The 19,696-nt window shown below is 41.9% G+C and overlaps 1 protein-coding gene across 13 annotated transcripts in view, besides 1 other annotated feature; it reads right to left on the bottom strand.

The window, feature by feature from the left end:
* SKAP1 (src kinase associated phosphoprotein 1) overlaps positions 1–19,696 on the bottom strand; it is a 311,620-nt gene that overhangs the window by 25,355 nt on the left and 266,569 nt on the right. For 8 of the 13 annotated variants that reach the window (NM_003726.4, XM_017025258.2, XM_047436976.1 and 5 more), the window contains 2 exons: positions 11,813–11,863; positions 3,673–3,773 (listed from right to left, as the gene is read on the bottom strand). In NM_003726.4, the coding sequence (NP_003717.3) occupies positions 3,673–3,773; positions 11,813–11,863 (152 nt within the window). The remainder of the gene's footprint in view (positions 1–3,672; positions 3,774–11,812; positions 11,864–19,696) is intronic. The other 5 variants (NM_001075099.2, XM_047436973.1, XM_047436979.1 and 2 more) reach the window with 2 other exon arrangements.
* Positions 1,563–2,108: an enhancer, noted in NCBI's record as "OCT4-NANOG-H3K27ac hESC enhancer chr17:46237721-46238266 (GRCh37/hg19 assembly coordinates)". NCBI's record gives its function as "activates a minimal SCP1, AML or CMV promoter by ChIP-STARR-seq in naive H9 embryonic stem cells {active_cell/tissue: H9 hESC(naive)}" and the evidence as "EXISTENCE:reporter gene assay evidence [ECO:0000049][PMID:30033119]".

Here is a 19,696-nt window from a genome sequence, read left to right on the forward strand (position 1 = left end):
AAAAATACAAAAAATTAGCTGGGCGAGGTGGCGGGCGCCTGTAGTCCCAGCTACTCGGGAGGCTGAGGCAAAAGAATGGCGTGAACCCCAGGGGGCGGAGCCTGCAGTGAGCCGAGATCGCGCCACTGCACTCCAGCCTGGCAACAGAGCGAGACGCCTTCTCAAAAAGAAAAAAAAAAAAAAAAGAAACAGCAGGGAGCAGCAGGAGCCTACGACTAAAGCTGCCATCCTCATTTCCCCTGCCACCTCCATCTCACCTCCCCTTCTAGATCCTCTAACCTCTGCACTCCGGACTCTGCCTTTCAGAATACTTTTATCAGATAGAGAGAGAGGGGGAAACCAGATGTATTTATGAGAACTGAAAACAAAAGAGCTGGTAATTTAAAAAAATTCTTTTTTGTTTAAACTGAATAAGTAATTAAGGCTAAAACACATTTTTGTGTGGAACTTCTTTAGCAGTTTTGCAGTGTCAGGCCCACCATATTTAGAATGGGAATGTCTGAGGTAGAAGGATTCTTAGATGCTATCCAACTCCACGCTCTCTTTTAACAGGTGAAGAAACAAGTCCACTTAAGCTGAGCTGCACACAGCTGCATCTGTGTCTCTCAGGGAAACAGATTTCCCTAGATTCCTAAACAGCAGGCCCTTCTTGTCCAACAGAGCTTCTACTGGACAAAAAGAAAAGTAAAATAGAGCTTTCTAGACACCACTTTCCGGGACTAAATTCAACTTGGGTCAGTTCTGTCCTTACAGGCGTGAGAGGCAGCTGCAGAGTGTAACGGACCCCAGCAAAAGAAGGCAGCTGAGGCTAAAGTGGGAATAAATTAGGATCTATTTGAGAGAAAATTCCAGAGATGAGGCACTACTGAACTTCTGAATAGACAGATGGCTGGGAATGGTAGTGGAATCTCGTTTTCTATCTGTTTGAATTTGTTCATTTGTGCTTCTTAGAAGCAAGGCGATGAATAGATTGGGTGGCCTTTTAAGGTTCCCTCCTGTCCAAGGACTATTATTGAATTAGGTAATATAATACAGGTGAATCAAAACTGAAATGCTCCCCAAACCAATGTTAACTGGAATGCAGCTTCATGAGGGAAAGTTCAGCTGAGCTCTTAACTTCTCATTTCCTCTTTGATATGCAGGGATTTGCAACATGGGGAAGGGAGCCAGCTGGTGTAGCTTTTTGGGAAAGAAATATGCTACTATTAATACAATGGTACAGGATGAAAATGGACTCAGAACCTTCCAGAAGAGAGGAGAAAGAAACTGATAGAAACAGGGCAGTGAGGTATTCTCATTGAATTAAACCCTGATATATTTGCTTTCTTTTCTTCTTTTTTTCTTTTTGGAGACAGAGTCTCACTCTGTCACCCAGGCAAGAGTGCAGTGGCAATCATGGCAAAAATCATGGCAGCCTTGAACTCCTGGGCTCAAGTGATTCTCCCAGCTCAGCTTCCAGAGTAGCTGAGACTACAAGCATGTACCACCACACCCAGCTATTTTTTTTTAAATTTTTTATTTTGTAGAGATGGGATCCTGCTATGTTGCCCAGGCTGGTCTTGAACTCTTGGGCTCAAGCATCCTCCTGCCTCAGCCTCCTAAAATACTGGGATCACAGGCGTAAGCCACCATGCCTGGCCTATGTTAGCTTTTAGTAACAGAGAAGGGGAAGAGGTTTTTTTTTTTTTCTTTTTAAAGATTGGATTGGTTCCCCATGTTCTTTGAGATTTCTTAAAAATACAATAGCCACTGTAACCACAGACAGCTCCATACTGCAGGACAGGTCACCGCACAACCCCTTCTAACTAGAGGAAAGGGACCCCCAGTGAGAAGCCATTAACAAAGGCAAAAGACATGCAAAACAAACAAAATAATCATGACAGAGAGAAGGCCAGCAGCCAGTCTGGCTCTGTTCTTCCCCCCTCCTGCTGCAGGCACCTCCAGACAATGTAAACAGTTAATTTGTTCACCTGCAGGCTCTGGGCAAACAGAGGCCTGGTCACACCTGAGTGGATAACTCGATTACCCCTGTAATGCCAGTGTGGTAATGTACACAAATTCTATTACACGGCAAACCTTGCTTTCGGGCATTTGAAATACCAATCAGGCCAATGTCCACTCCCTTTTTTGCTTCCAATTTATTCTTGGTGTGTATTGGAGCCACACAGAAATGGCACTAGGGTGGTACTGAGTTAAGGATCCAGGATAAATCACTAGAAGATTGTGATCTCACTCAACAAGGCCTGCAGGCCTCCTACTCTCTTGCAAACAAAGGGTTGGATTTGAATTGGGTCCATATTTAAAGGGGCCTGATTCTGTTGGAACCATAGAAAGGTGCTGTGGGTTAGACCTAGACTGTTTCCTAAGGTGCTTATGGTATATCTCAAACCAAGACAAACCTTTGCCCAAGGTAGTAAAATTCACAGAATAAAGATAAAAGATACTGACACATAAAAAAAAGAAGAAAGATAAACGATAAATGACAGATTAATAACCAACGGGTTTTCAGTTTTCCCTTATGGAATCCACATACTCAGCAATTAAAGAGCAAGTTGTGCCTATTTCAAAAATGTGTTTGTAGAGATTGATTGGCTGCATAGAGAGAGGACTTTTTAATAAGTGCTAGGGACAGAGCCTATTATTTTAGCCCACCTATAGAATATGTATGGTCTTTCTTTACCAACATGATGCTACTGATCCCCCAAACTGTAGCCCATGAGTTCTGAATCTTCTTCACATCAGTGATTGATCTGTAATAATCCATCCTTTTTTTAAAAAACCAGTTTGTTTACGGTCAACACTACTATTTGTAAGATGGTTAGCTGGAACTAGGGGTTAACTTATGACTGAGGAAGAGAATAAAGTTAGCTGGCCTGTGTGGGATTGAATTCACTCTCTTGGCCTTATCAGCAATTGCTCAAACCAATTGAGTTAACGAGCTCTGACTCCTCCCCCATACATAATTATGTTACAGTCTTGTTTATCTATAAATGAAATAAGAAGGCAGCTTACCTAGCCAGAATGTTTTCAATAGTATTACATGGTAATAAATTATGTACATAGTGATGACCTTTAAGCACAAGTCCCTGAGAAAGATTAAATTTTGATTGGCATGGTTTTGGTATAATACCAATTTTATTGCATTTTTTATTTTATTATTTTTATTATTTATTTATTTATTTATTTTTGAGATGGAGTCTTGCTCCATCGCCAGGCTGGAGTGCAGTGGCGTGATCTTAGCTCACTGCAAGCTCCGCCTCCCGGGTTCAAGCAATTCTCATGCCTCAGCCTCCCAAGTAGCTGGGACTACAGGCATGTGCTACCACACCTGGTTAATTTTCTGTAGTTTAGTAGAGACTGGGTTTCAGCATGTTGCCCAGGCTGGTCTTGAACTCCTGAGCTGAGGCAGTTCACCAGCCTCGGCCTCCCAAAGTGCTAGGATTGCAGGCGTGAGCCACCACGCCCGGCCTAGCCTTGTATTTTTAAATGTGAAAATGGTTCCTGAATCTGGATTTTCATTTAAAACTTTTCCTAACAATTATGAATAAATGGGAATTTATATTGTGAGGGAGCCATGGGAAGTGTATGACATGGAATAATTCTGTTTATGGTGACTAAATCAAGAATGAAAAAATTGACTTTCTATTTAAGCCCCACACTTTCTGTCCTTACCTTGCTCAGAATACGGATGAGGTCACCCCGTTGGAAGGACAGTTCATCTGGCTGGTCACCATGGCAATCCCATAGGCCCTGGTAGTAACTGGCATAGTCTACTGATCAAAGAGAGGAGAAATCAAAGTTAAAAGGACTCTATTTTTTCCGAGGTACCCATGTTTTTGCTGCAAATGGAAACCAGGGTTCTGATATTGCCCCTAGGAAACCTCAGATTAAGGGGAGTTGAGATGAGATACAGCCAAACACTCAGCATGAGCAAAGGACTATGGGAGAAGGAGATCATTAACTAACATTAAATATTTACAGATCACTCCTAGTAGGATGCCGTTCAACAATATGATAAATATATTTATTTATTAATAAAAGAAAATCAGGCAGGTAATTTTTCACTTGGTTTGTAAGTAAGCAGTGCAGAGGTTTCCCGCCAGACTTTCCTGATCCAGGGCAACTAACTATCTAGTTTTTCTCTTCATTATGCATTTGAAGGATCAGAGTAAATCTGTGACTTCTGCCTATTTACAAGAAAGGCTTAGTCAGCCAGCAGGCTTCTGGATCACAGCTCACTTTTCGGCCTTCTTTGTCCATAGGAACTTTGTCCTGGGAACTTCCCACCTAGGTACTATATGAGGTAATCACCAATAAATACTGAAACGAATAGCCCAGTCTTTAAGTGGAACCAAGGGGGTGTCTCATCCATTACAACTAAATTCTGGGTGGGCTGGCCCTTTTCCAGCATCTCATTTGTAGACCTTGAACATGTCTGCCAAGATTTATCTGCAAGCCCCAGGGGAACAGAAACCAAAGTGATCTGCATTAAAAATGAAAGCAACTGAAGACGACAAACCAAGCTTTAGAAGCAGCTGGAGAGATTTACTGAGCTTCTCAGCAGAACTAGATGGCAATGATGCCACAGGACAGCCATCGATTCTTAACAATGAAGAATTTGTATTGATCTTCTACCCGGAAAGGTTAAACACTAGAGTACAAAGTGGGAGAGGATCTGGGGATTTGAATGGCAGGAGAGCTAATGCCCACTAGACCAGGCATGCTCCTTTTTCCTTGGGGTGCTCTGTATCAGAGCTGTGAACAAAGCACCTACAAAAGATGAAATTCAATAGATGGGAGTCAGGAGTCCTGGGTTCTAATTAAAATTCACATGATTTTGGGGGACTCTGTTCTATAGATTTCCACCTTTCCCTTTATTCATTTTACCCTCCCATGAGCAGTGATAGTATTGGTGGCTGAGGATAGGGCAAGTGGGCAGTAGGGGCACAGACACCCTCCCTATATTTGCTTTTTTTCTACTTATTCCTGACTTACGAGCAATTTAAATAATAAAGGCACGGAGGGACAAAATCCCTATATGTCTCTGGAAGAGAATTTTGGTAGGAATCTTAAAGGGTACAAAAACAGAGGAGGGAGAGAACTATTTAGTTAAAACTCAGATATTGCAAACAAAAGTAAAAATGTCAACCATATAGAAATTCAGGCATGTTTTCTTCACACATAAAATTGTCTGTGTGTGCAGTAGACAACAGAGGGCAGCAAACAAGATAACTACTGTGAAAACATTCTGCCACAGAGTTGATAATATGTTTGGAAGAAAAATACTTTGGGAGAAATATGTTAGTTATTGAATAGACAAAGCATTCATTTTTGGAAATATTAAGTACATGAAATAATAGAGAAATATCAATCCCTGAAAAGTGAAAGTAGTTTTCCCAGAGGATATATTATGAATTTTCCATTTTAATGGAGTTGATTAATTACCCCAAGATTTTGACTAAACTCAGGAATGAAAGAATATTAACATCAATATTTTTCATGGATTTATATATGGTAGAGAAAACCATTTTTGTAAAAATAGATTCTAAAACCATAACAATATTTCTAAGTGGTAAGGAGACTAACAAGGTTATCTTGGTCTTTTCTGGCCTAGCAGATAGTCACTTTGGAGTACGGTTCCCTACTGTGTGCCTGGATATGGGATAGGTCCTAATATTGAGTGCCTTTTTGGTGTATACATAAAAAGTGATTTGACATTGGGTATATATGGGCCTGGGAGAACATCTGGAAAAAGATCTATTCTAAAAGCACAAAAGATCACAGGGAAAGCAAGAAGCTAGGAGAAAAACAGAAGCCTTCCAGGAAAAAAATAAAGATAGAAAAGGTCTTTGATATTAAAGGCCAAAAGAAGACAGAGTTCAGGAATCCAGGAGATGGTTTAGCTCAGCCCAAGAATAGGGAACTTCAGTCAGAAGTAGAACAGCTCCAAAAAAACAGGCAGAATGAAGGGCTAAAAACTGGGAAAAGTTTGAACTTGCTAGCTAGCTAGAAGTATTCTCTATTAAGGAAATCAGTGAGGGATAATTCCTTAGCTGGGCAAGGTGACTCCATATTGCAGACTTCCTGTTTAACACACATGTGATATGCATTTATGTGTATGTGTGCATGCAACTTCACTAATTCATTCTCATCATCCAACAGACATGTATACAGTACCTACTAAATGCCAGGGACTGTGTTAGATACTGGGAATCCCACATTGGCCACACATGAGCCCTCCTCTCAAGGGTACCTTCTAGTCGGGGAAGCACCATGGAAAAAACAGTTACACAAATGTTTATTTATGATTATGATATGTCTGTGAAGGAGAAGTTGAGGACGCTGTGTGTAATAGGGAATCTAACATAGTTTGAGGGGTCAGAAAAGGCTTTTCTGGCCAAGTGGGTGTTAAAGACCTTGAAGAGGGGAAGAGATAAGTTGGAGGAGGGCTTCATTCCTGAAGCTTGGCACCAGGAAGAGCTTAAAAGCCCAGAGTCTGCAGGGCTAGTCCAGCTTCTCCCTAAACCTGCCCAACTCATCCTATAAACAAGAGAATGCATGAGGAGACTTTGCTTTCTTTTCTTTTCTTTCTTTCTTTCTTTCTTTCTTTTTTTTTTTTTTGAGGCGAAGTTTTGCTCCTTTTGCCCAGGGTGGAGTGTAATGGCATGATCTCGGCTCACCACAACCTCTGCCTCCTGGGTTCAAGGGATTCTCCTGCCTCAGCCTCCCGGGTAGCTGGGATTACAGGCACGTGCCACCACGCCCAGCTAATTTTGTATTTTTAGTAGAGACGGGGTTTCTCCATGTTGGTCATGCTGGTCTTGAACTCCCGACCTCAGGTGATCCGCCCACCTCGGTCTCCTAAAGTGTTGGGATTACAGGCATGAACCACTGTGCCCGGCCGACTTTGATTTCTGTAGAGCAGAGAGAGGAACTGAGAGCCCAAGGGTGAGGCTTGCCTCTATGGGCTGGATTTAGATTCCTTTAGGCTTACACTACTCTGGCAGCCGTCTGAAATCAGAAATGGTGCAGCATTCTGACCATTTAATTAATTCAAAACATCCTAATTCTCATTTTAAGGACATTATTCCATCTAATTATTTTTTTTCCAGTCTGTCCATTTGGAATGAAAAACAAAAGAATAAAGCTTAATGCCAGCATTTCTCAATGTCTCTCCGAAAAACATAACTCTGCACTAAATAAAGCCTGGTAATTCAAAAGCAAAGCACTAATATATTCAGCATAAAACAGACAGAGGACCTAGAGCAATAATGACACCACTAATAACTAAAACAGTTATAACAATTAACAACAATTACAATGATAGAGAAGCTAATGGGTATGATCACTGCATTTAAATTGCTAGCAGAGCTGAGAAGGGCTTTTTCTAGAGAAAAAAAAGCAGCATCTTACTCTCTTTATCCTATGTAAGGGAAGCTAAACTCCAAGCAACCAAAATGTCATAAGAAGAATAGCAACAGAACAAGTTAAAAAAAAGTATTGGTTTCTTTTTTCTATTTATTGCAAAGCATTTGTCATTGCATGCCAGGTTCTTTACAACTAGTGACAGTCATTTCTCTTGTAACTGAGGCCAAGTTGGTGCTACTGATGATAGAGTCAATGGCTGAAAATTAGCCTGTGTGACGAGCAAAGTTTTAAGGTAAAAAGGACCAGGACATCTCTCTGCCTTTCTCCTTCCTTAGGGACAATAAAATCTGACTGTTCCTTCCACAGTTCAGCTTATGTTTGGGAGTCACTGGGTAGCGACAGAATTCAGGCTGTGATCAGGGAAAAGTGGCTAAAGGCAGGCCAGCATGTTATTTACATTTTCTTGATTACTAAAATGATCGTGTCAATAAGGCCTGGCATTGAGTACAACCTCTTAAGTTATGGAAAAGAGAGACAAAACATGAAGATGGATAAAGCCAGTCCTACGAGAGGATGGGATGGTAAGACTTGGACAAAAAACGCCAAAGTAGTGACCCATTGGAAGTGACTTGAAATGTTCTTTAAGCCAGGTCAGAAAGGTCTAACATGTTGAGTTCATTCAAGTAAACTCTGACAATTTTTCCTTTTTTTTTTTTCTGAAATAGGGTCTTGCTCTGTCACCCAGGCTGAAGTGCAGTGGCACAATCATAGCTCACTGCAGCCTCGAACTCCTGGGCTCAAGCTATCTTCCCCCTGCAGCCTCCTGAGTAGCTGGGACTACAGGTGCATGCCACCACACCCAGCTAATCTTTTTAATTTTTTGAAAACACAGGGTCTCACTTTGTTGCCCAGGTTGATCTCAAACTCCTGGGCTCAAGCAATTCTCCCATCTTCGCCTCCCAAAGTGCTGGAATTACAGATGTGAGTTACTGCGCCCAGCCTTGATAGTTTATTAACTATTTCAGAAGAAAGCTATGAAAATATTTGCCAAGCCCCCAATGACTGTGGCACCAGAGGAGGAAGAGCAATTGGATAATACCATTTGCTTATTTCATAGCCCTTTAATCTTGAGTTTTGAAATTACTATGATCTTAGTGGTATAAGTATGATTTGGAAGTGGGGTATACTCAGATTCTGATTTTCATGTCATTTCCTCTTTTCATTGGGCCATAATTTTAGCTGGTTAATAATCAGCTCATGTTTGGTCTTGGAAAACAGGCTTCAAAAGGTAAGAGCTGCAAACACCTCTGTGGTTTCCCTTTGTTTCTTTCATGTAGTAGTTCACTCTATTGGCGCGCACTAAAGTGAGAAGGGGGCCTCAGAGATGGAATGGTATAAGCAACCATTTTTTGGCCCTCCTAAAAGCAATCATTTGCTTATAAGACCACAATAGTGTGGTCTGTGTCTCCTTTTGGCTTAGTTTTTCCACAATTTCAGAGTTGGGGTTGGGGGCAGACTGAAGGAGGTACGGGTGGGAGGGGTCTGTTTCAGGTTTTCCTTGGTCAGGGATTTTATGTATCTAAGGATGATTTGTGCCTCCAGGGTTGCTTTTTATTTGACATAGCACATGCAAACAAATGGCCAGTAATTTCTATAAAAAACGAACACAGAGGAAGTTTTATTTTTGGTTACCTGGAGGTTACCTTTTCATGATAGGGAAAGGTGATAAGTTCTCATTACCTAAGACCCTTAATGTTAGACTACTGGGCTGATGGGTTGGAATTTAGTGAAACTCTGAGGTGTTGAAGAGTCACTCATTAAAATAACCCTGTTACTAACAGTCATGCTGTAAACTGAGCTCTTTATAGATTGAGCAATCAATACTACAAGGCTGTGATAGATTTTCTAGGTAACAGAATGAAATAAAAGAAATTACATCTTACAGGGTCATTAACACTCAATAAGGATGAACCGAATCCCTTCCCCCCTATTCTGATAAGATCTAGTTAGGCCTTCAGAATGTTAGCAATTCCATCAGAGAAAAAAGCACAGCATTCAAGGAACAGGATCCATCGAGGTTGGAGAAAAGTACTTGGATTTTAAAAGTAACTCTGCTAGCCATAGCATCTTTTGGGAAAAAAGGAAGAAGGGAAAGGTCAACTTGCTTATATATATTTTTCTCCCCAAAAGCATGTTAACACCTGAGAAAAGGCTGGGCGTGGTGGCTCATGCCTGTAATCCCAGCACTTTGGGAGGCCAAGACGGTCGGATCCCCTGAGGTCAGGAGTTCCAGACCAGCCTGGCCAGCATGGTGAAACCCTGTCTCTACTAAAAGTACAAAAATTAGCCAGGCGTGGTGGCACGTGCCTGTGATCCCAGCTACTCGGGAAGCTGAGGCAGAAGAATCACTTGAACCTGGGAGGCAGAGGTTGCAGTGAGCGGAGATAGCGCCATTGCACTCCAGCCTGGACAACAGAGCGAGACTTCATCTCAAAAAACAAACAAACAAACAAAAAAACACACACCTGAGAAAAACTAAGTAGCCCAAACTTGTGTAGCTTGTCTATGACATAGGAATTCACACTGTCCTAGAGCTCCCTGCCTTTTAAATGCCTTCACTGGGGCTGCCTGCCCTTCCCCCAGACCTCTATCTTTTATTGTTACAAAACTAAATGATGACATTTGGATTTATGTATTTTTCACCATTTCTATAGCGCCTTTGGAGAAAAGGCAGTATATAAAATCAATCGATAAATAAGTAAACACAAATAATAAAAATTCCTGCCTCAGATTCTGCAGAGAGAGCAAAAAGTCCTCCTGTTTTTTAATCACTAAGTCACCAATCATTATAACTGGTGGGAAGTGTAAACCATAGAAACATATTCAGAGCTTGCTATACTTTAACAACACTTATTTTGGAGGCAGGAAGCATGAGGAACAAAAGGTTTTTTTTTTTTTAAACCTACTTGAATTATAGCTGTAGGAACAGTTAAGAAATAAATCTCCTCTCACCTCCCAGATATAACCTTAGAGAAAGAGGTGGAAGGAGGAAATGAGATGAGGGAGGAGTCTGAAACTGGATTCTAGACTTTGCTAAAAGATCAATGCTTTCTGAATGGAGTTTAATATGAAATTGGCCATAGGAAGCTTACAGTTACTCCACCCAAGCTGTCCACATGAAGTGTTTCTTTTCTGCACTGGTGATGGAAGTTGGTTGAGAAAAGATATATGTGGAACATGGGCGGGTCAGAACAGATTTTCATTTGGAATTCTGTACAGTAAGTAGACAACAGAAGGAAATAGGTTTCAGAATGGACCTAATCACATGTGTTCACTATCATGAGGTACTTGCAGCTACACTCACATCCGTGCATCACACCCGCCTCCACTGCTTTCTTTCTCTCCTGCTTTGGCGCATGACTTCTGAGGCTGCATCTTCGTTGTCTCTTCTCTTCCCTGGGAGAAGCTGGACCCTTAGGAAGTTGGGTCCTGAACCTTTTAAGTATTCACTTTCTGTAGAGAATGAACCTAGAAATGGGGGTTTTGCTGGATGGATAAGGAGAGAAGAAAAAGCACAAGGAAAGGAGAGAGGAGAATAGGAAAAGACAGGGCTAGATAATGGAGAAGGAGCAGGGAGGGAAAGAGGGCAAGAATTCCTAGGCTTAAGATTTTCATAGACTCCCTAAGAAAAATATCAGCCAGTATCTAAATCAGTCATGATTAGGGCTCTGCCGACGGAACGAATGTCCTTGAGGTGGCCCTTGCAATGTGCAGCATTCCTTTACTGACAACCATGGAATAGGTCCTTGGTCCACTTAAGGAGGCTTCAGAGGGGCATCTGACCTTAGAAAGGATGGGCTCACTAACAGCCTGAAGCATGGTTAACAGTCTGGGATGAATAAGATGTAATTTTATATTCAACAAACCTGTTACATATTCATTTCCAAATGTGCCTGGAATCAAACCAGGCTATCAGAAGTCAGCATCACCAAGGAATTTTATCTTTCACCCTGTGTTCACTTTTCAGATCTGACACATTTCCATTCCCCTCTGAACTTGCAATCTCCGGGCCTCTCAGAGAGGAGACATTTCCATTCTTTCCATTCTCAATCCTCTGATCTCTTAGAGATGAGGCAATTCTATTTTCACTGTACTGATATAAGAAATATTGATAGGAAAAAATAAATGTCTGGTTTGGCTTCCCACCCGCTCTAGGATAAATCTTGGCTGTTCTGGGAACATTAATTAAAGTGAATGTATGGCTGCTTTTAAAGTTTAGGTATTTCCCTACCCAGTCACTTTATTTAGGGCTTTGGGGTTCACACACAGGTACCCTCTTAATTATTGAGTTCAGTAATTTTTGTAGTCTCAGAGAAAGGTGCTTTCTCTAATCAGAAGCCCATAATGTCCTACCCAGTGCCTGTGCATTTAGAAGCTCTTATACCTCCTTTTCGTCGAGTGCCACTCTCATCCTCTTCTAGATCATGCTCTTCATCTGGGGGGATAAATGATCAGTATTAGCAATTAGTGGTTCACAGTCTCATGTTCTTTTTTTTTTTTTTCGAGATAGAGTCTTGCTCTGTTGTCTAGGCTGAAGTGCAGTGGAACGATTTTCGGTTCACTGCAAATTCCACGTCTGGGGTTCAAGGGATTCTCCTGCCTCAGCCCCCTGAGGAGCTAGGAGTACAGGTGCCCACCACCACGCCTAATTTTTGTATTTTTAGTAGAGATGGGGTTTCACTATGTTGGCCAGGTTGGTCTTGAACTCCTGGCATCAGGTGATCCACCCTCCTTGGCCTCCCAAGGTATTGGGATTACAGGTGTGAGCTACTGCGTCCAGCCAGTCAGTCTCATGTTCCTTATACGGAAAGGTCCCCTTTCTCTGAGCTCATCATACTCTCTTCTTTAAGGAAAGTTTAATTACTGTTGTTTTTTTTTTTTTTTTTTTTTTTTTAGGCAGAGTTTCACTCTTTGTTGCCCAGGCTGGAGTGCAATGGTGTGATCTTGACTCACTGCAACCTCCACCTTCCGGGTTCAAGCTATTCTTCCCGAGTAGCTCAGCCTCCCGAGTAGCTGGGATTACAGGCTCACAGCACCATGCCCAGCTAATTTTGTATCTTTAGTGAAGATGGGGTTTCTCCATGTTGATCAGGCTGGTCTCAAACTCCTGACCTCAGATGATCCGCCCACCTTGGCCTCCCAAAGTGCTGGGATTACAGGCGTGAGCCACCGTGCCTGGCAATTACTGTGTTCTTAAAAAAAATATTAATTTGTCACCTTCAAACTGGCCCTCTCCTTCCCTTCCCTTTCATTTATTCATAAGCATGTTGAAGTGCTCATTACATGCAAGACATTGCACTAGGAACTGGGGACAAGCAATAAACAAGACTGTCAGAGTTCCTGCCCTTGTGGAGCTTCCAGTCCATTGGATTATTTAGATGTCTATCACCAGAATCCTAATCCTTTTCCTCAAACTCCATTTCTCCTTCCCTCTGGAATTCTCTTCAAAATTATTATCTCTATGCAAGCATTCTCTCTAGTTTTAAGCATTCTAGAGTTAGGATGTTAGAGTGTGTGTGTGTGTGTGTGTGTGTGTGTGAACAACCCTCTGTGATTGGCTGGGTGCGGTGGCTCATGCCTGTAATCCCAACACTTTGGGAGGCCGAGGCGGGCAGATCATGAGGTCAGGAGTTGGAGACCAGCCTGGTCAACATGGTGAAACCCCGTCTGTGCTAAAAATACAAAAATCAGCTGGGCCTGTGGCGGGCGCCTGTAACCCCGGCTACTCAGGAGGCTGAGGCAAGAGAATTGCTTGAATCCAGGAGGCAGAGGTTGCAGTGAGCCGAGATTGTGCCACTGCACTCCAGCCTGGGTGACAGAGCAAGACTCTGTCCTGGGGAAAAAACAAAAAACAAAAAACCCTCTTTGATTAATTAGTCCTTAATCCTTAATGTATCCATCTTTGTTCAGCTGTAATGGAGGCTGGTCATGTACATAATTTTATGTTCCTAGTACTTGGGGCTTGTAGTTATCTTTTTACTGTTTTTATTCAGCATGTCTTGTTCATTAGAGTATAAGCTCCTGAGGGTAGCTGGAATGGTCTTTTAATTAATTGCCGTAGATTCACAATGGGTTCTAACTCAATGCCAGTGTCTAACTCCAGTCAAATGTTTATACGGTCAAAGTCATAACATAATTGGCCTAAGTTTCTTACTCCCATTAACCGGTTTCATCTCGTCACATTACCCGATAAAATAGGAATTGGACCCTTATAATGTAAATATGTGTACCAGAATCATATTTAGCTATTTTATACATGGGGCAAAGTGAAGAAAAATACACTCGTTATTCTTTTCACTACCACCATGCTCTTTTCCCACTCTCTCACTCACACATATATACACACATATGCACAGTAGATAGGGTATAGTAAGCAATGTTTTGAGGGCTGAATACTCAGCTCCTCCTGGCCACATTTACTTTCCTTTCTCCTGAGTCTTAATGACATTTGCTTGTCTTGCTTCTCCATAGTTTTGCCACTAAATGAAACTTTGACATTTCTCTTTCTTTTTTTAAATGTAATGTTTATAGGGCAATATGAGTTCCGGTATGCCAAACTGGGGAAGTAAGCTCCAAGCTCATAGGTAAGAAGGAGCAGCATAAAAATATATTAGAATACTATAAAGCATTAAAGGAGTAATTGATTTCAAGTAAGAAAGAGACTGATATGGCCAGGTGTGGTGGCTCATGCCTGTAATCCCAGCACTCTGGTAGGCTGAGATGGGAGGATCACTTGAGCCCAAGAGTTAGACACCAGCATAGACAACAGAGCAAGACCCTGTCTCTATAAAAAATAAAAATAAAAATTAGCTAGGCACAGTGATGCACACCTGTAGTTCCAGCTACTTGGGAGACTGAAGCAAGAGGATTGCCTGAGCCCAAGAGTTTGAGGCTGCAGTAAGCCATGATTGCGCTACTGCAGTCCAGCCTGGGCCTGGGCAACAGAGCGAGACCTTGTCTCTAAAAAAAAAAAAGGACGGATACTCTGGGAAATAAAATATATATATATATGCCCTACAATATAGTATGGGAAAAGGAGCACTTTGACTCAACAGTTCTTATAGCCATGTATGATCTAGCAGCAGAGAATGTTCTACTTGACACCTGTAGTGCTCCCTCAACCCTACCACGAGGAATAAAACAACCTAAGCTAATGGAGGAGTGAAATCAAATATAGGAAACAGATCATGCTGAAATAAACCACATTAAACATTCTTTGCACATTGTCTTCTCGTTACTCGTCCACTTCCTTCCTTTCTCAGCTATGATGCATTTCTTTTTTGACATGGGACTAATTTTAGGATTGGAAACATTAGAGGAAAAGTTGGTACAACCTCAGTTTTAGAGATACCCAATAATTTGGACAGAGAGCAGCTCTTTTGTTGATATCAAACAACTCCATCACAAAGACCAATAATTTGCTGTGCTTAGGCACTTTTGCAGAGGTTTATTCTACCTCTGCTGTCTGTGCGCAGCTGTCTCTTCCTCCCAATTCTAATCAATGTAAATTGGGTCAGATCTCCACTGTGAATTACAAATTGGATCCGAAGTTGGAGGGTCACAGTGCTGCTACTCCACCTCCTTCCCACCACCATTAGATGGGAAGCTTCACCAAAGATCTTTTCTAAATAAATCAGACTTTATTGTAAAACTCGGCCACTGACGAGACATAACCTCATTAGCATTGATTTTAAAATAAATTATTGAAAGTGGCTTGCCTGCTCTTTGCATTTGTAAAATAGGAGAATGTAAATGTATTTGCAATGATAAAAATGAAAACTAAAACTTAATTCCTTTATTCTTTTGGGCAACAGCACTTAATCTAGTCATAATACAAAGATGGAACAATAGAAATGTGTTCTATGCAGTTCAGTTCCAGACCAGTTACTCTTGATTTCCACTGCACTTTTGGAATCAACTAGAAAGAAAAAAAAAACATTGGCTATAGAGCTTTTATATCATTCACCGCCATTACTAAGCTCTACGATGATGGATGTAAACGGGGAAGCTCCAATCCCCACATCTGTTTTATCTAACACCGTCCTTCCCAGGTGGCTGAAAGTAGGCTCAAATCAAGAAGCCTTCCCATTGATGGGCTTGGCGCTATGCCTCTGGGGTCTTTGGAAGACTGGGTAGGGGGCACTGTCACATAGTGAAGGAAAACACCATTCACAGCTGGTTGTGAAAATTACACCCCTAGACACCTCCCTAGGTTCAGAGGGCACAATACAAATAGGCATACAAGTTATCTCAGATCTTTCCATGAAACTGAACAGGTGTCTTTGCAACCCCAGAGTCAAAGACAACTATTATATGGCAACAGAAAAAAAGTCTTGTTGCTCACAAGAAGGGGTGGGTTAAATAGCTAAAGTTCTCATTTTTATTAATCTTTAATGTGACACTTTAATTTTAAGAGACTATTTTGAAAAATATTTTTTAGGCTAAAGAGCTTGTTGAATTTCTTTATAAGAATATTATTAGGCATTTCAGCATTATGTCTACTGAAATACATCTTCATTTAAGAGTGAATTAAAATTTATGTGCTAGCTCAACTTTAAACAGTAATGGATTATAATGGTCCTTGCTCCTAACAGGGCATATGGGACCCCAACCTTACATAGGTTTTAAACAAATTAACCTCTAAAGATTACTGTCCACTTATCACATTAAATGCTCTACTTGATCCCCAAATATCTCATCTCAATTGGGAAAACAGTTGAAGAAGATTCTGTTAACTGTGTGAACATGTAAGAGAACCATGGGGCATCACAAATGAGCATCAGTATCTGGAGAGTCGATTTCAATAAACATTCTTGGCACAATGTCAGGGACACTAATGAGAGGCTGAGAGGAATAGGACACTGAATCCACCTCAGAGGGACAGAGAGGAGCCAGCAGCTTCTCATGACACCTGGCTATTTTCTGAAGTGCTGCTCTGACACTCCTCTGACATTGGCTACACTGATATCAGAAAGAATAACATTAGAAAAAAATGACTAAATCAGAAAGAGGGGAAATCAGTTACTTCCCCAAATAAAGAAAGTGATAAAAGCTTCAAAAAATGCCAACTGTGTAAATGTGCAACCAGATGTCAAGGTGCTGTGGTGACAGATGCAACAGAAATACAGATAGACTCAAGGTGCAAAGGGGACATGCAGAAAAGTAGAAATAAACTGCTCCCCCGCATGCACAGATATGTTATAAATCCACGGATGTATAGCACCTCATCAGACAACATGCAAAATACAAGCAAGATGCTAATAACACATTTAATTCTCTGTTGTGTATTTGGTTATCTCAACTGTTAGCTCAAAATATTCGCATCCTATTTCAGTGATATGGGCTTGATGTATAAGATATTAAACTCAATTTGTGCTAACTGCAACACTTGGAATGCACTGAATTTAACTTCACAAATAATACCTAAGCATCTACTAACTGGGGAGAAAGACCTGAATACAAATCACTGGTGAGGGCTAAAACAAAGCTTAATTCCAGTTGAGTATCTGGGAAGGTGTCACTGAGGAGACATATTTGAGCAGAATGTGTATGATTTCACAGGCTGAGATCAGGGGGATGGTCTAGGTAGAAGAAACAACATGATTCTAGTTTTGGTGCTGGCCAAGCAGCACTGTGTGGCTGGGGCTCAGTGGGCATGGGAGTAAGACAGAGAAAAGGCCAGAAGTTCAGAGGAGGCCTGATGTTGGTGTTGACTCTTCCCTGATGCTCTTTCTTCATAAACTTTGTATTTTTGGTCTCTATTTTGTTTCATTTCCTTAGACTTCTTATCTTCACTGTTCCCCCTTCCTGTGGGTCTGAACAACTGTACAGGGGGAAAAATAATTCCACAGAATGCTTGTTTCCATTTGACTCAAAATTTTAAAAACTCAGTTATATGCTTTATTTTAAAGCAATCTGGTTTCTAGGTTTATAATAACACCCTGGGGCAGTGTGGGCAGCATTGGAATGTGCACAGAAATTCCCAAAGATGGCTCGTCATCTCTCTTTCCATTTGCTCTTCTGAAATCTCTCTAGAGAACACAGCCAGATTCCGTTGCCATTGCAGCTGCTACAAGGCCCCAGTTACAGCACTTCAATGGTCTCAGACGTCTTGCTGGATCCCAGCCTTGAGACCTCAGACAAAGCGAAACCTGACAAAAGTTGTCCTTTTATGGAATCTTGAATCATGGAGCTGGGCCTATGCTGGCCTGTAAAATAACTTCGGTGGTGGTGGTGGTGGTGGTGAGAGAGGGCTCAGAAAAGCCTCCATTTTCTACATATTGCTTTAGCATTTCTTTGTGGTAGTTCCCTGCAGTTTAATCTACTGCAAATGAGATCCTAAAAAAATCAAGGGCCCACATATGCTCAACACGGATGTTCAGAAATTCCACCAGATACCAACCTTGAAACCATATTTTCCAGGACTAACGTTTTTGTGGCCTGGCTGAAAACCTTGAGGGCTCTGGTTTTCCCTCAAGGGGAGAAGAGTGCTAGCCACATAGCAAATGCTAATTATCCCATGATTAATGTGATGGAGTGAGTTTAATGTGATGACCCATGCGTTATTTTGATTACAAAAAAACATTTTTTATTGACTTGGTATGTATTACATACACTTTTCTCCCTATTAGGAAGCCCATCTAAATTATACTCTGGAAGGAAGGTCTCACTTACATGGCTTTCCCTATAGAGACAGTGTGGGCTTGTGTGGGCCCCATCCCAAAAGGGAGGATTAGCAGAACCGTCAATGTTAAATATCCTCCACAAAGCACATTTACCTATTATAAGGAAACAAATGTTAGAGGCCCACATCATTTGACTCTTGATGGGTATGCAATGTTAGCACAATCCAATGTTACTGTAGGCTGTCCCTCCACCCAGCACCTGGCCTCGTAGTCAAAATGGGCCTGAGCAGAAGGTGCACTCCACATTCCATCTGCTCAGGATTTTCAGTTTCACCTGCTCCATACACATAGCTGGAAATAACCAACTGGACTGTCTCAGGTCTGGTTCGAGAGGGCAGGGACCTAACCATCCCCAGTTCTTCAAGGAGGTAACACTTCCTGTTTAAACACCATCACATTAATAACAGCCAGCATTTACTGAGTACTCACTGTATGCCATTGTTTGCCAGGGTTCTGTGCTAAGAACTTTACACATGTCAGTTCCAGACTCCTCAGCACATCCATCTGAGACAGCTACTATTGTTTTCCCTGTTTTGCAGGTAATACAATCAGACAGAGAGGGCAAGTAACTTGCTCAAGATCTCACAGCTAGCAGGTGGCAGAGCAAATCCATCCTGATTTAGAGCTAGTATCTGTGCCTAGGATACCATTGCTGTCTCATGTGCCGCTGCTTGGTAGATGGTCTTATGAGAGGGCAGCAGAAAGGAGACAGTGTTAGGCCCCCTCACATTCCCTTCTTAATTTCTCCAGGTGTGGCACTATGCAAAATTCAAACAGCAAGTTCAGAAGCAACAGCTAAGTGGAGTGGACAGGAAGCTGGGTGATGGAAACTTGTGGCTGAAATATTCATATCATAATTAAATGCCAATATATCCCACCTCCAACTCTGACTCTAAGAACTGTGATGGATAGAGGCTTATGGGAAAGAACCTGTTGGCTGGGTACAGTGTTGTCCTTTGGAAACTAGGTGCAGTTTAGCTGTTGTTTCCCTAACCTGCAGAAAGAGATCCTGGATTTCCTACTGTGTGGCCTTCCTCACTTCCAATGGGCAGCTGTTGTGGATAGAGGTTAAATGTACCTACAGATGAGTCTTCATGCCCTTGGGGCCACTCCAACATACCAGCTGGTGTAAATTTTGGAAAAATGCCCTGATACTCTGGGCGGTGCTGCATTGGCCAAGGGGAGGAGTTTAGGAGGCAGGAGAAAGATGGTCATTAGGAAGCCAATCATACCTTCATTGCCCACTCCTGGGGTAAGGTGACAGTCCCAAACTCATCTTATTTTTTGAGGACTCTTCCTCTTTATTCACCTTTGCTCTGTGTCTCTAAGCATCAGCCCCCGCCCCCCGACTCCTTTGAAAACGAAACATGGTGCAGAAAAAGGCCCTTTCTTTCCACCCGAGAAGGTTCACTGAGGTTTTCCCAGAGCATTCTTCCACAGTTGTAACCCAAAGTGGAGTGTCACCCGGATATTTCCCCAAGCCTGGGCAGGAGTGAGCAGAATGTGAGCTCACTAGGAAGATTCTGGCCAAGCTGGGGAATGCATCTCCTTTTAGGGAGTATTGTGAATTAGATCCATTTCTG

Source organism: Homo sapiens, chromosome 17 (assembly GCF_000001405.40).
Source record: "Homo sapiens chromosome 17, GRCh38.p14 Primary Assembly".
Taxonomy (NCBI): Eukaryota; Metazoa; Chordata; class Mammalia; order Primates; family Hominidae; genus Homo; species Homo sapiens.